General features: G+C 50.6%; 2 annotated features.

Moving 5' to 3' along the window:
• Positions 229-822: an enhancer, noted in NCBI's record as "H3K27ac-H3K4me1 hESC enhancer chr22:28029867-28030460 (GRCh37/hg19 assembly coordinates)". NCBI's record gives its function as "activates a minimal SCP1, AML or CMV promoter by ChIP-STARR-seq in primed H9 embryonic stem cells {active_cell/tissue: H9 hESC(primed)}" and the evidence as "EXISTENCE:reporter gene assay evidence [ECO:0000049][PMID:30033119]".
• Positions 3,453-4,071: an enhancer, noted in NCBI's record as "NANOG-H3K27ac-H3K4me1 hESC enhancer chr22:28026616-28027234 (GRCh37/hg19 assembly coordinates)". NCBI's record gives its function as "activates a minimal SCP1, AML or CMV promoter by ChIP-STARR-seq in naive H9 embryonic stem cells {active_cell/tissue: H9 hESC(naive)}" and the evidence as "EXISTENCE:reporter gene assay evidence [ECO:0000049][PMID:30033119]".

The following is a 16,736-nucleotide window of genomic DNA, read 5'->3' as shown; positions in this document are numbered from 1 at the left end:
TGTGCCACCTGAATTGCTTACTAGGCTGTGAGTTCCCACAGGGCATGGCCGGGTCTGGCTCCCGTCAGTGCAAAGGGGGTGCCCAGTGAGTAACTGAATAAATGAGGGAGTGAGTGAAACTGCTCCCCACTCTGCTGTGCTGAGGGTGAAGCCTGCAGAGCCTGGTGCCTGCCCAAGGGATCCACAGACACAGCTCCCTTCTGCCCCCAAATGGCCCCACCCAGGGAATTCCCTCAGACCCAGCTGATGATCCCATGTGGACCCACATAGGACCGGGCAGGGGAATTGATCCCATCTTTCAGGGCCAGGCTTCATCCAGTGTGCCAACTGCTTTTGATCTGATCTTCTCTTTGGCTGTTTAAAACTTCTGCCAGGATACACACATATGTTCCCACAAAGACACACCCAGACACGGACACACGCACAGGTACACGCACCCGCAGACGTGGACGCACGCACGGGCACACGCACCCGCAGACGTGGACGCACGCACAGGCACATACACAGGTACACACACCCCCACACAGACATGGACACACACGAACACATATTCAGACAAATACACATGACACACACCCAGAGACACATATGTGGACATGCACACAGACATACATGGATGCATATACATGGAAACACACAGACATGCACAGACACACATGAGCACACATAGAATACATACACACACACACAAATACACACATTTATGAGCTCTCGAGCAGGAGGGCCACCATTACGTCTTCCCCAAGGTTGTTGTGAGGATTAAATGAGCCAAAGCGGTGAAAGTCCAGCTTCATGCAGGCTCCGAGTAGGTGTTCAAGGCCATCATGAGTGTGGGACCCCTGCAGTCATGCAGGACCTTGAGCACAGAAGGGTCCACGCTTGGTTTAATGCCCTCCTGTCACCATGTTGAAATCCTTAATATTTGAACAAGAGGCCCTGCATTTTTATTGTGTGAGTCCTGTGAGTTCGGAGTTGGCGTTGTGTGTGTTCCTAGTTTAACTGGCAGCCTGGAAACACCGACAGAGAGTCTACATGAACCCTGACTTCTGTAGGGTTGTTTGAAAGGCAATGAGGCCAGCCAGGAAGGGTGCAGAATGTTGGGCTTGGAGGCTGGGGCTGGGAAACCCTGGCAGCCCAGACATTGCAGATCGGTTTGTAGCAAGCACCGTGTATATTCAGAGCAACAAAAAGTTGAGTTCATGAGCAAAGAAGGTGGGGATGTGGGACCTCTGGGATCCAGTCCTGGCTTTGCCAGCACCCTCGATGAGTGGCTGCATCTTGCTGTGCCTCAGTTGTCCCCATCTCTGCAGCAGGCACTACCAGCAGATGGACCAGTCTGGATATTGGGGTCCCATCCCTGCTCCCGCTGTCCACCTCCTCAACCCAGAGACTGAGACCTGATGACATCTACTTCATTAATCCACTCTCAGCGTCTTCTCCCCAGTTCAGCCGAGCAGAGATCAGCTGGCTGGCTGGAAGGCTGGTTATCTGGTGCGGAGCAGGTGGAGGGGCCACACTCGGGGCCGACTGGCCGCCTGGTTTGTATTTTTAACACCCGGCTCTCGGGCGGTGACAAGGTGTCTGCTAAGTGAGGTAATAGGCAATTGAGTGGGTTCCGCTTTGCCGAGGGCCCTCATAAATCATGTCTGTCAGGGGCCTGTGTCATAGTCCAGGGCAGCGCTGCGCGTCGGCAATTAGCCAGCCTGTGCCCGGTGGCCGGACTGCAGCCCTCTAGTCCAGGAGCACAGCCCTGGCAGGGCCTGAGGGGGGCTTTGGCCTCTGCCCCTTCTCTCTGTCCTCCCAGCCTTCTCCAGCTCAGCCTCAGACAGATGAGGAGGGACTGACAAGGAGCAGGAGTAGTCCTGGGGCTGCTCAGGAGGCTTTGGGTGGCCTTGGCAAGTGGCTTTCCGTCTCTGGGCCTCAGTTTCCTCATCTGCAAGGTGGGTGCAATAATGACTGCTTGAGGACTAACGAGTGAAACTGACAAGAAGAGCACACATCTTAAGGTAAGGAAACCTCAGTGAGTGATAGTGATGATTGATGATGTTAGTAAACACTCTGACGGTGCTTGCGTGCTGCCAGCACTGTTTATTCTAAGCGCTTTGCATGTATTCACTCGCAGAGTCTCCATGCCTATTCCTCTTCAAGCCATGCTTCCCTACTTCCAATGCTTCCTTTACGGAGGGGACCCATGGTAAAGGCTCAGGTTCAAGCATATTTCTAGGTGGTGTCACCACAGGTGATTTTTATCTTATTATTTTTACATCATTTCGTTCTTCTAAATGTGTCTTTCACCAAGTGTGACACCAGGGCTGGAGCAGAGAAGCTCCCTAAGCATGGAGGCTGAGGCTTGAGGTCTACACGGAGTGGCACTCCTGGGCCTGGGGACTCCAAGGTGGGAGGCAAAGCCCCCAAGTCCTTTGTTAAATACACACGCTGGCCCAGAGGGAGAAAAATGCCACGTGGAGTCACACACACACACACATACACACACACACACACACACACACTCACACACTCACATATACAAACACTCACATACACACATTAAAATACACACAAATATACACACTAACATATACACACATATACACACATTCATATACACACACATACATATGCATACTCACATATACACACACAATCACATACACACACTCACATATACACACATACACACTGAAATATATAGAAACATGCACACATATACACACATGCATATATACACATATTTACATATACACACTCACATACCCACATGCATACTCACATATACACACACAATCACATCTACACACATACACACTAAAATACACACTGAAATATACACAAACTTACACACATGTACACGCATGCATATATACACATATTTACATATACACACATGCAGTTACATATACACACACTCACACACACATGCATACTCACATATACATATACACACACAATCACATCTACACACACATCTACACACATACACACTAAAATACACACTGAAATATACACAGACTTACACACATATACACACATTCATAGATACACATATTTACATATACACCCATGCAGTCACATATACACACACTCACATGTATACACACTCACATACACACACTAAAATACACATCCAAATATACACACACTAACATCTACACACATTCATATATGCACACTAACATATACACACATGCGCACTCATACATACATACACACACTCACATGTACACATATATTCACATATACACACACCCCACATGCATACTCCCTTCCAGGCCAACTTATAAGAGCTTAGAAACAGAGACCCCCACGCCTCCCATTTTGCAAATGATTCTTAACACCTACTGTGTGTCTGGCATGGGAATACAGAGTCATCCAGATACAGAGAAATCCCTGCCTCAGGCACATGGACCCCCTGAAACTGCATCATTGCAAACAGAGTCTTACCCCCACAGCCCTCCGAAAACACACATGTAGGAGGTCCCTTTCCCCTCCATACCACCCTCTCTGGTTCCAAAGCTTTCATGCCTGCTGCCTGGGGTGGTGGGAGGTGGGTGGGGCTTCAGATAGCATTGATGGCGGCAGTGTCCTCCAGGGTCCCCAGGCCTCCTCATGATCCCCAGATGGGAATCCTTTCGTTGCCAGCAGCCCTGTCCCCTGTCTTCCCTCCATCCACCCCCCGCCCTGCTCGCCTGACCAACCTTTGTGATGGGGGATGGGAGCAGGGGGGAGGCCCCAGGAGAAGATTCTTCAAAGAAAGTCCCTGCCCCCACCTCTGCCCTGCTGCGTACAGAGCCTCTGGAGTGGCTCCCCCTGGGGGGCCTGGCCTGGTTAGAATAGGGGCCTGAGCAGGCCTCCAGGTGGCTTAGAGGGATGAAGGATGCTCCAGTTGGGGGGGACACATGGATCCCAGCAGGACAGCATTTCCTAAATATTTTCTGCCCCTTTTGGGGACCAAGCAACAAAGTCCAGCCTCCAGGCTCATGCGGAGCCCACCAGGTGCACCGTTCTCTGTCCGGGCTGAGTACACCCACAGGCAGCTCTGGGGTGGGGGGTGGGGGCAGAGGGCCGTGGAGACCGCCATCTGCACGGCTCTCTTGGCTGCCTCCCCTCCCTGGGGGTCGAGAGGGGCCGGGATCGATGCTGGGCCCAGCTGCCCAGCGGCGCCCCCATCCCGAGCCGGCCTGGCCTGGGTCTAATTGATTACACTGGGGCGTCTGCGAGGGCCCAGGTGGCAAGGCCCAGGCAGCCTCTGGCTCCCCTAAGGCACGGCCTGGCTGGGGACAGGGGTGTGGGAAAGAAAGAAGGCACGGGGCGGGGTGTCTGTGAGTCCCAATTAAGCCACGAGTGGCACAGCCTGGGCTGCCCCTAATTTGGTTTGGGATAATGAGCCAGGGAAATTGGCTCCTGTCTGACTGGAGTTTAAGCCCCATCTGGGCTGGGCCCTGGGAATAGCCTCTTCAGTCCCTGCCCTGTGGATTAGGAGAGGGGGTGGAGCTGGCTCCTCTGGTGGGCACAGCTCTCTACAGTGTGCAGACACTTTCTCCTGTGTGTTATCGATGGCATATATTTTTGGGGGATGGGGGCAGTTACTATTACTGCTCCATTTTACAGATGGGCAAACTGAGGCCCAGAGAGGGGAAATGAAGCCTCCCAGTTCATTCCTGGCTGGATCCAAGACTTGAACCCAGATTTTCTCCTTTTTCTTTCTGATTGATACATATATATATATTCTTTTTTTCTGGATTGCCCAATTTAGCAAATAAAGACAAAGGAGGCCAGGCGCAGTGGCTCACGCCTGTAACCCTAGCACTTTGGGAGGCCAAGGCGGGTGGATCACGAGGTCAGGAGATGGAGAGCATCCTGGCTAACATGGTGAAACCCCATCTCTACTAAAAAAATACAAAAAATTAGCCGGGCATGGTGGTGGACACCTGTAGTCCCAGCTACTCAGGAGGCTGAGGCAGGAGAATTGCTTGAACCCGGGAGGCGGAGGTTGCAGTGAGCCGAGATCATGCCACTGCACTCCAGCCTGGGTGACAGAGCAAGACTCTATCTCAAAAAAAAAAAAAAAAGAAAAAAAGACACAGGACTTCCAGTTAAATTTGAATTTCAGATAAATAATATATAAAATTAGTATGTCTGTCTCATGAAATATTTGGGATATCCTCATACTAAGAAAATCTGATTTGTTCTGTATGTTACCTGGCAACACTAGCCATTATTCTTTAGGACCTTGGTGGAATCTGGGGGTGGAGGAAACAAACTTTGGAGCCAGTCAGACTGGTTCAAACTGGTTTTGCCACTTTCCTCCCATGTGGTTGTAGTAGACAGAATAATGCCCCATCTCCCACCTGCAAGATGTCCACTTCCTAATCCTTGGAACCTGTAATATGTTACCTTATGTGGCCAAAGAGACTTTGAAGTTAAGGATCTCGAAATAGAGAAATTATCCTGGATTATCTGGGTGGGTCAATGTCATCACAAGGGTCCTTATAAGAGGAAGGCAGGAGGGTCAGAGTCAGAAAAGGAGATGTGACGATGGAAGGAGGAGGGAGTGACGTGCTTTGAAGATGGAAGAGGGAGCCGTGAGCCAAGGAATGCTGGTGGAAGCTGCTTTTTTAGAAGTTGGAAAAGGCAGGGAAATGGATCCTGTCCTAGAGCCTCCAGAAGGAATGCCGTCCTGCCAGCATCTTGATTTTAGTCCCTGTGTTAGTCTGTTCTTGCACTGCTATAAAGAAATGCCTGAAGGCCAGGTGCGGTAGCTCACGCCTGTAATCCCAGCACTTTGCGAGGCTGAGGCAGGCAGATCACCTGAGGTCAGGAGTTCGAGACCAGCCTGGCCAACATGGTGGAACCCCATCTCTACTAAAAATACAAAAATTAGCTGGGTGTGGTGATGCATACCTGTACTCCCAGTTACTCAGGAGGCCGAGGCAGGAGAATCGCTTGAACCCGGGAGGCGCAGGTTGCAGTGAGCCAAGATCGCACCACTGTACTCCAGCCTAGGTGACGGAGTGAGACTCCATCCCAAAAAACAAATAAACCAAAACAAACAAACAAAAAACCCGAAATGCCTGAGACTGGGTAATTTGTAAAGAAAAGAGGTTTAAGTGGCTCGCGGTTCCACAGGCTGTACAGGAAGCATGGCGGCTTCTGCTTCTTGGGAGGTCTCAGGAAACTTACAATCATGGCAGAAGGCGAAGGGGAAGCAGGCATGTCTTGCAAGGCTGGAGCAGGAGGACGAGAGAGATTGGGGAGGTGCCATACACTTTTAAACAACCAGATCTCGTGAGAACTCACTACCACCAGAAAAGCACCAGGGGATGTAAACCATTAGAAACTGCCTGCATGAGCCAACCACCCTCCACCAGGGCCCACCTTCAGCACTGGGGATTACAATTCACTGTGAGATTTGGTGGGGATGCAAAACCAAACCATAGCAGCCCTGCAGGACTCATTTTGGAAATCTGATCTCCTGAACTATAAGGTACTTTGTGGTGTCTGACGCCGCTACATTTGTGATTTGTTACAGCAGCAATAAGAAACTAATACAGTGGACTTGGGTGAGTTACTTAAGCTCCGGGCCTCAGTTTTTCATCTGTAAAATGGGGATGGTCCTTTCTTCTGCACGGGGTGGATGTGAGGTTTCTCCTCGGCAAAGCAGTCAGTTGTTCCCCTTGCCTGTGGCTGGTGTAAAACCTCACCGGTATCCTGAAGGCCCAGCTGCAGCCTCCTTCCTTGCTTAGCTTCAGATCTCTGGAGGGAGCCAAGGAGCAGACCTCCCTTTCCAGGGGATGAGCTGAACCCTGATTCCACAAACCAGGGCACAGAGCATCTCCAAAAGCTGCTCTTCAGAGACAAAAGATCATGGGACCAGGGTCTTGATGGACCTCCTAACTCTGCCATTTCTCAGCTGTGAGGTCGTGGATAAAGGAGTCACATTTCTGCCTCAGTTTCCTCAGTGGGGCTCAGGGCGCCTCCACCTCTCAGGGCCCTTTTGAGGAAGAAATCAAATGCAATCCCAAGCCCATACATGGGAGGCGCCAACAAGCAATCATGAGCACTCCAATGCGCTCCCATTTAACGATGACGAAACCAGTGTTGGACGGGACTGACTGAACAACACACAGTGTGCGGTTGTGGATGGCAGGCCCTGGATTGGACCCTGAACTTCCTGTTGCAGCCCTGTCTGTTCTTGTAGGACCTGCCTCTCCCCTTTGTTGTTGGTTAGGGGGGCTCTAAGGGGGTCTTTTAAACCTCAGGGAACGAGTTTGTTAAAAGCAGAAAGAAAGAGTACCTCCTAAATTAGACTGAAGGGCACAGCTCTGAGATGTGCCTCTGATTCAGGGTGTACCAGGTGGTGAGTCTGTGGGCACCCAAGTGGCTGTGGACCCTGTCATGAGGCTCAGGAGGTGGGCTCTCGTTCTCACGAGGAGCAGCTGTGCTCCTAACACGCCATGTGTCCTCTTGGGGAGTGAATTTAGAACCAGAAAACCACACAGCCTGCTACAATCCTGCCTGGACTAGACTCTCCTCTGGGGCTCAGCCTCTCCCTCCCTACCCTGCTGGATTCCAGAGCCCTCCCCCCTCTCTGGGATACAGATCTCAGAGGCCTTCCCCTCACCCCCATATCCTGGTTCACAGATGAGCAAACAAGCTAGGAGTGGTGAAGAGACTTTCCCAGGGCCACTCAGCTAAAAGGTGTTGGGAAAAAAATGATACCCAGGACTTCTGGGCAGGCCCCACGTTGATTCACCCCTACCAGGAAGAAGGTAGAGTCAGGTGATAGCAAACAAGGCCTCTGATGCCACGCTGTCCGGTTCAAACCTCGTCCCTGTTTTGCACTAGCTGTGTGACCTCAGGCAAGTCACCTAACCTCTCTGAGTCTCTGTTACCTCATCTGCAAAATGGAGTTGGTGATTGGACCTACTTTGAGGACTGTCAAAGGAATTAAATGAACTAATAGATGTGAAGTGCTTGGAATGGGGCCTGATAGGTAGGAAACTCCCCTTTGAGCACTGATATCCTTACATTGATTTCAGGGCAAGAGACATATACTATTGGTGAGACCAGGGTGACTGTTCATTGGCACATTGGACATGGCAGTAAATAACATCAAACCCCAGTGAGAAATATATTCCTGTGTTACATTCACATTCAGTCCTTTGAGTCATTGTCTAGGTGAAGGCGAAATTCTCAGTTGGGTGCTATCTCGGCTCTCACACTTGCTCATTTTCCTTTTTAACCAAGAGGGGCCGAGCTGCAGGCTGGAGATGCGGCAGGCAAAGATGGCTGGCTAGAAACTCCTAACACATCTTCAGTGAGCTCGTTTCTTTCAGGGTTACTTATGTTTTGTCACAATCGACACTGATTTCCCACATCATATGCTGCTGATACTAAATGTTCTTTCAAAACAAACTGACTTGAGGACCAAGGCCATGTCGTGGAGGAAGGACACGTGCCCACAGCCTGAATGTCCCTGTGCAGCCAAGGGTGGGCTTCTCAGTCTTGTATCACTGTGTGATATGAGTCAGAAGACTGGAGAGGGACTCTGGGCACAGTGACTCACGCCTGTAATCCAAGCCCTTTGGGAGGCTGAGGCAGGAGGTTCACTTGAGGACAGGAGTTCAGGACCAGCCTGGGCAATATAGCAAGACTCCATCCCTACAAAAGTAACAATAAAAAAATTAGTTGGGTGAGTTGGTGCACACCTGTAGTCCTAGCTACTGGGAGGCTGAGGCTGAAGGATCACTCGAGCTTAGGAGTTGGAGGCTAAAGTGAGCTATGATCGTGATGCTGTTGTACTCCAGCCTGGGCAACAAAGCAAGACCCTGTATCAAAAAAAAAAAAAAAAAAAAAAAAGAACATTGGAAAGGGAATTGCCAAAGATACTTACAAAATTGGAATAAAAAATCTTTTTTGGGCTGGGAGCAGTGGCTCACGCCTGTAATCCCAGCACTTTGGGAGGCAGAGGCGGGTGGATCACGAGGTCAGGAGATCGAGACCATCCTGGCTAATGTGGTGAAACCCCCATCTCTACTAAAAACACAAAAAAATAACCAGGTGTGGTGGCATGCGCCTGTAGTCCCAGCTACTCAGGAGGCTGAGGCAGGAGAATCACTTGAACCTGGGAGGCAGAGGTTGCAGTGAGCAGAGATCTCACCACTGCACTCCAGCCTGGGCGCTAAAGCAAGACTCTGTCTCAAAAAAAAAAAAAGTCTTTTTTGTATAATTTCTTTCTGGGATTTTGTGTGCCTATACATGTGACATGGGTGATTGTTTTATGAGCCGATCCATTTTCAAGAGCTCATTGTTGGGTTTTGGAAACACCAGAGGAGTGACTTTGTTTCTCCAAAGGAGGCTCCAAAAAGGAAGATGATTCCTGATTTTGCAGCAGTGAGGCCTCCTGGTCCCTCGTCTCCTGCTCCATGCAAAATGGCCTTTAACCACGCCTCCAATGTCTTGGGAACTGTATCATACTTTCATTTCTTAAGACTCAGAAACTTCTTAACTTTCTCCTCTCTAGTCTAAATAAACCCAGTCCCACTGCATACCCACCTTCCCTGCTAGTGAAAGTCCATTTTGGCCCAATTATTTCTGGAGGGCAATTTATAAGTAGACATCCAAAGCATCCTTTATAAGCCTCTATTTCTCTCTCTGCACAGCCATTCAGCTTCTAGGGTTCCATCTTTAAGGAATAAACGATCACACATCACATAACAATTCAGTGGTAAAAGTATATTTATCACAGCAAACATCTAGAAGTAACCCAGCTGCCCAACCATAGGAGGTTGGTTAAATGAGGAATGCTACATCCCCACAGTGGAATATGATATGCTCAGCCCATTAGCAGAATGTAGTGAAAGAATGTCAGTGGCAGCTCATCAGGAGCAAGGGTTTTGTTCATCCACTTGCTTTTTTACTGCTATATCCTCAGAATCTAGAACAGTGCCTGGCATAGAGTAGGTGCTCAATAAAAAATTGTTGGTGGATGAGTGAATAAATGAATGCTTAACAGCAGGGAAAGATCATTTTGCTATAGTCAAATTATCCGTGTTATCCTATTTTGTGTAAATATGCATAATGTAGGTATAGAGAAAAAGTTTAAAGGTAATAAAATGATAAGCTCGGTGATTTCCAGGCTTGCTGATTTTACGCAATTTTCCTTCATGATGTTTCAGTTATTGGTCTTTCCCACAATTTATTCAGTAAATGAATTCAATAAGCTGAAATCAGAAAACAATGCAAGTGATTTCTTTTCGAAATTGTGAAATTGCCTGTGAGATTGTGACGATGCAGCCCTCAGAGCCCTTTTGATGAAAACATCTCTAGTGCATAGATTCAAAATTCTCAAAACTCTCAGATCACAGTTCCTGAGAACATGTGGTTCAAAGTTCCAGGGGCCACACCAGGTCTGTGCTGTCTGGCTCTGGTCAGGGCTGAACTGGCCCTGACAGCCAGTTCAAAGCTCCATGACCAAGATGTCAAATCTGGAATTTTAATCCATGACAAAGCAGGAAATTTTCTCATGTTTCACTGTGGAAATCCTGGACTCTGCGCACCAAGGGGCCTGCCCTCCCCTAGTCATCCATTCTGGATGGGACTTTGAGGATCCAGGTGGATCGGCTTGGCCTGGTCTGCTACCCACCTCTGATCCTCCAAAAACTGGGGTTGAGGCTACGACCCCTGATGTCCTGGAGGGTCTGGAGATCCACAGAAGAGGATGCCCAGGGGCTGGGCTGGGGGTGGGGTTAAGCCTGACAATGGCTGAAAACGACTTGTAAACAAACAAACAAACAAACCAACAAACAAACAGAAACGTTATCCAGTGTTGGTTAAAGGAATTCCAGACATCAGGGCATAAAGGGGAAGGGAGGTAGGAGGTTTGGGCTTGGAGGGCTGAGGGAGAGAGATATGTACCCCCTGATCTGACCTCATGTGAAGAAGGCTTTCTTCATTTGTGGGTAAAGTCAGCCACGCCAGACACTCTAGAAATTGCAAAGAAATGGAAAAAATGCTTGTCGTTGTCTTTTAATTATATTCTTTTTCTGTCATTTGTCTCCCGTCTTGGGATTTGAATACACGAAGGTAGAAAACAGTGATGGCTCATTGCACCCATGTTTGACTCGACTGCATGCGGGTCTCATCGCGGGGCCTTCCTAGGAAATTTGCAAGCCCCACTTCGGTGACACACACTGACTTTAGAAACCAGCCTCCCCCCTAAAGGACAGGGGCCCCAGAAAACTTCCCTGGCCTCTCCACGCCCACATGATGGCCTTGTGACAAGTCTCCGGGCCGACCCTCAATTAACTTGTGGGTCCTTGACCATAGAGGGCCACCTAATTTATGATAGCGCATTGGGTTGAATTTAGGCCCAAGTGCCGTGTTAGAATGTTAACAGTGTAACTCAGGGTTCGAGTGATAGATTTGAGGGAGTCGGATGGCCATCTCTGTGCATGTGGCTGGGCCTAAGAATGCCCAGCTACACTCAGTAAGAACCACGGACCTACCTGGTTAGCTCTGGAGACGTGGGGCTGCTGGCTACCCAGGGGGTTGGGAGCCCATGGTGGGACAGCAGGTTACTAGCCCCTGAAATCCTGGAACTGCTCCCTCGCTCAACAGATGTGCTTGGGATGACGCCCACCCTTCCCCACCAGAGTTCGAGTGGGAGCCTTTGAACCTCCATCCCAGTGGCCTGGGCACGCTTCCTCCCCACTGGGGTTGGGGGCAGGAGGCAACACTGAAACTTGCTTGTTATACAGAGCTGGTGAGCCTGTGTCATCGCTTTGGTGACACCCACCGTATGATGGAGAAGAATGGCTCCTGATTTCTCTTTAGGAACCAGGAAATCCACCCTTAACGCATTAAAAATCTCACCCTCGGCCGGGCGCGGTGGCTCACGCCTGTAATCCCAGCACTTTGGGAGGCCGAGGCGGGCGGATCACGAGGTCAGGAGATCGAGACCATCCTGTCTAACATGGTGAAACCCTGTCTCTACTAAAAATACAAAAAATTAGCCGGGCGTAGTGGCGGGCGCCTGTAGTCCCAGCTACTCGGGAGGCTGAGGCAGGAGAATGGCGTGAACCCGGGAGGCGGAGCTTGCAGTGAGCCGAGATTGCGCCCCTGCACTCCAGCCTGGGCAACAGAGCCAGACTCCGTCTCAAAAAAAAAAAAAAAAAAAAAAAATCTCACCCTCAGGGAAGATGCAACCCCACTCTGTTTCCTAGAAGTACCATTCATTTCCTATCCTGTTATTCTCTCTCCTTCCATCCTGCTGGTTCAGTCATGGGGATTCTATTGGTATTCTTATTTTATCTTGTTATCTGTGGCAATGTTGGTCAAGAAAAATCTTGGAGAATTCCGGTGATAAGACAGATGAGAAAGGTTGACCTGGCTGGGGTGGGATGTGGGGTGGGAACCCTCCTGCTCGGCTTCCTCCCAGTCATACTCCACGGAGATGCTTGAGGAGGCTTCATGGAACTCCCAGTGTTCCACGGCAGACAGTTTGAAAACTACTGGTGGGAACTCTGACTCCCCTTCTGGGATTCAGCCTGGTCCGAGGGCTCGCTCTGCCCCGGGCTTGCCATGTGGACCCGTTTCTTTCCTCTCTGGGCCTCAGTTTCTTCACTTACTACAGACTTGCAGAGTTCAGAGGGGCCAAGATGAAAAAACCCAAATTTCTCATCCAACAGCAAGGAAAACAGGAGGCCCAGAAAGGAGTCTCCGCTTAGCCCAGGGCACACAGCCTCATCCCTGGGCAGCAAACGTCCCCGCTGGGGAGGTCAGGGCTGCTCCCCACATCAAGGGGAGATCCCTGTCTGTCCCAGGTGGGTGCCTTCCACACTGTCCTCACCTGGCAGGACCGGAGCAGGCCAGACGTCGGCATGCACACCAGTTCTGCTCCCCCGAAGCCACAGGGTGCTTTTCTTTCCTAGCTGGAAGGAGCAGCCCTCTTGGGGTATTTATTTTATTTCTATAAAAGTGGGAAGCAGCTCTCCAGGGCTCTGCTGATGACTTGTCTGGCCAGAATGCCTTCCCTGCTATTTCAGGATTAAGACAGTAAATTCCTTCTCCAGGGTGTAACGGTGTAAACACCGGGCTCTCAGGGGAAGGTGGAATGGCCACTGGGCCCTACCCTGTGTCTGTGGCTCAGGCAGGGCCTGGGGAAGGGGCTGGGGGCCTTGAGATGACCCCTACTCACTCCCTGCCAGGGTCCGAGTGACCTGGGTGCCTTCCTGCCCACCGGGGCTGGAACCAGGAGCAGCTTTGTTCTACTGGTGCCAATGAAGGATTGGGAGCCCCCTTCGGGGAGTGGTAAGTGATTTCCCTCTCTGAACCTGGGTATCCCCCCTTCTCTAAAACACGAGTAATCACCTGTGCTCGGCACTGTGCCAGGCCCATGGTAGGTGCTCCGTCCATCACAGCTCCAGTGATTTCACGTATTATTATTATCGTAAAGTGTGGTTGAACAGGACACACTCCCTGCCTCCCAAGAAGTTGACAAGAAATAGGGGAGAGAGAGGAGGGCAGGATCAGCAGTTAGAGACATGAGTGCTAAACCCACTGGTGGTAACAGGGAGGGTGAGGGAGGGTAGGGTGGGCCAGGTGGAAAAGCAGGAGGGAAAGAATGGTGCTCCAGGCAGAGGGAATGGCACAGGCAAAGGAAGGGAAGGGAAGCAGATCACCACTTGATCCAGTGTAGAAGGAAGTTCAGCAAGGCTGGGTGGCCGTGCCTGAGGGCAGTGGCGAGAGGAAAGCCCAGGGCATCCTTGGGCACCCAGTGAAACACACCCCTGTGAGTCATGGCAAGGAGTGTGCAGTTTCCCCAGAGACTTAGATTGGGAGCACTGGATGATACCTTAAACCCAGACGACAATTGCCAATGTATGGCAAACTTGCTGGTATTGACGAGTGACAGAGGGCTGTTGTTTGGGAACATCGAGCCTGGAGCAAGGGCCTGTGACACCAGGTGTGATTGAGTGGGGCATTCCAGCAGCCCGCATGGCTGGAGGTAGAGGAGGCCAAGGGGAGGCTGAAGAAACAGCAGGTCAAGTGATGCGGTGATGTTAAGCGGAGAGCTGAGAGCAGCTCCTAATTTCTGACTCTGTGGTTAATGTGCCAGTTAAGTAGCTGTAATCAGTAGCAGCTGTGAAGGGGACCTGCAGGCTCCACGGAATGTCGCCAGGAACCAGGGATCCGGCTCAGGGAGTTGACCGGCAATTGGATTTCCCATCGTTGGGGTGGGTGAGTCGGCAGGAACAAGGTGCAGCCCCGGGCATGGCCTGTGGAGATCTAGGATTGGAAGCAGAAACCTGGCCCAGGGAAGCTGCTCAGGAGGCTTAGTGGTGAGGGTCCCCTTGTGTGCACAGGCATTTTCACTTTACACAGTGCCCATGGATCCTCTAGCGTAATGTGGTGGTGGGTGGTGGTGGTGGTTCTGGGTTCTGAAGCCCTGCTGGATCCAAATCTTCCCGCTTCTTGAAAACTAGTTGATCTTGGAAAAGTTCTCATTTTATCTGAGGGTATTCTGTGGAATAGGTTTGTCACGTTCCTCCCACTGACTATTATATTGGGAAAGGCACATGATAGGATTGCAGGCAAAGTGCCCTCATGGTCGTGTACATAGTAGGTGCCCAAGAAGTGTCAGCTGCACAGTAACAAGAGGACGATGGTCCTAAGGCACTGGCACTGTCTGCTCACTGCTTTGTCTGGGCAGGTGGTGGCTCTGAGGTTAAGACACAGAGGCTGGGGTGTGGGACCCACTGATGGATGCATCCCATCAACATTCATGGGGACCGATGAAGATCAGATCCTGCATCTGGTGGGGACACAGGCAAGATGAGGCTCTGGCCCCACTCCTAACCTGGGTCCCTTCTTCTCTGCTGTCTCTGAGGCTCCCCACTGCATTCCTCCATCCCCTATCAGGGACCTCCTCTTTGTCCCATTTCCCTGTTACTCTTTTTCAGGTAACGCTGTGAGCTCCTCTTCTTTTTGTCTTGTAGGCTGGAGGTCCCATGGCTCAGTTCAGGCTGTTTATTGTTTCCCTCTCCTGGGACATTTCACCCACTCCCAGGGTTTGGTATCTGGCATCTACTAACACTTCTCCAATCTCCATTTCCAGCCCAGACTCATTCATTCATTCATTCATTTGCTCACTCTTCCACCCACAGATATTTGTGGCTGAAATGTTGTCACTGTAATGTAAGCTGCATTAAGCAGGAACGTTTTCTGTCTGCTCACCACCCTCTGCCCTGTCCCTGAAACCGGGCTGGCAGATGCAGACCCTCAACCACCCTTGCTCAATAAATGGATGAATTGGAGGACTCACAGGGGAGGACTCACGCTCTTAAACTTGACAGAGGCAACCCTCATGCCCTGGAGAGAGGAGGTCTAGGAGGAGCCTAATCTGACCCCAGAACCATCTACAGGAGGGTTGGGTCATTCAGCTCATGCCTCTCACCCCCACTTAGCAGATGATGAAACTGAAGCCCTGGGCAACAAGGTAACTTGCCCAAAGTCACAAGGTGATACAGTGGCCGCGCTGGCACCTAGCTTACGGAACAAGGCTCTTGCCTTGTGTCCTGCAGACCAGCAGGTTCTGGGAGGCCCCAAAGGTGTCCGACAGCAGCCAGCTGTGGCGTATTTCTGTCACGTTACATAATGGCAGGCAGGTAATAACCACTCAGCCTCTCCTGTCTCTGTGCATAATAGGTAGAAAAATGAATTCACATGTCATTTGCTGCAATAAAGGAAAGTATTCTTAGTGCTCGCAGCCTTCGGTGGGGCTGAGGAAAGGGTGCAGTACATTCTCAATGAATCACCGGTAAAGGCTGAGTGAGGGAATCTCAATTCTTCCCTGACAATGTCAGCCACAATTAAGCACAATCACCGAGGTTTTATTATTATTATTATTATTATTATTTTTGAGACAGGGTCTTGCCGTGTCGCCCTGGCTAGAGTGCAGTGGTGCAATCGCAGCTCTCTGTAGCCTCGACCTGGTGGGCTCAAGTTATCCTCCCACCTCAGGCCCTCAAGTAGCTGGGACTACAGGTATGCACCACCACACCTGGCAAATTTTTGTAGAGACAGAGTCTTGCTATGTTGCCCAGGCTGGTCTCAAACTCCTGGGCACAAGAGATCTGCCTGCCTTGGCCTCCCAAAGCATTGGGATTACAGGTGTGAGTCACGGTGCCCGGCCACTGAGGTTATATTTATAAGCGAAGCTGGTGAGTGTGTATGTGTGCAAGGGTGAGTAGGGCTGGGTATGTGCACATGGCTGCCTGGGGCACTTACACGTGTACGTGTGTGTGTGCGTGTGGCCCTGGGAGGGGTGAGAGTGGGCTTGTGCAAGCGTGCATGTTTGTGTGCGTGTGCACGCATGTGCCACTCATTCATTGGGACCTAATGGTATAATGTGTGCACCCCCTGGGCAGTCAGCCCCATGAGGACAGGGCTCCTTCTCTGTGGCATTTGCCCCTGTTTCTCTGGTGCCCAGTCTGGGGTGTGGCATACAGTAGGTGCTTCAAAATTATCTGTTAAGTGCATCGACAAGTCCCCCAGCCCTTCCTCCAATATAACCTCAGATCCTCCTCAGATCTGACCACTTCTCTGCACCCAGCTTTCACTACTCCAGATAAAGTCACTGTCCTCCCTATTTCCCCTTTTTCCTTCCCTTTCTCCACTATGATCCCTTTAGTCCTGGGTTCAAGCAATGGCTAGAGGGTTCTTCTTAAAACTAA

This window comes from Homo sapiens, chromosome 22 (genome assembly GCF_000001405.40).
Source record: "Homo sapiens chromosome 22, GRCh38.p14 Primary Assembly".
Lineage (NCBI taxonomy): Eukaryota > Metazoa > Chordata > Mammalia > Primates > Hominidae > Homo > Homo sapiens.
Note: the sequence above shows the minus strand (reverse complement) of the source record. Positions and strands in the feature narration are given on the sequence as shown.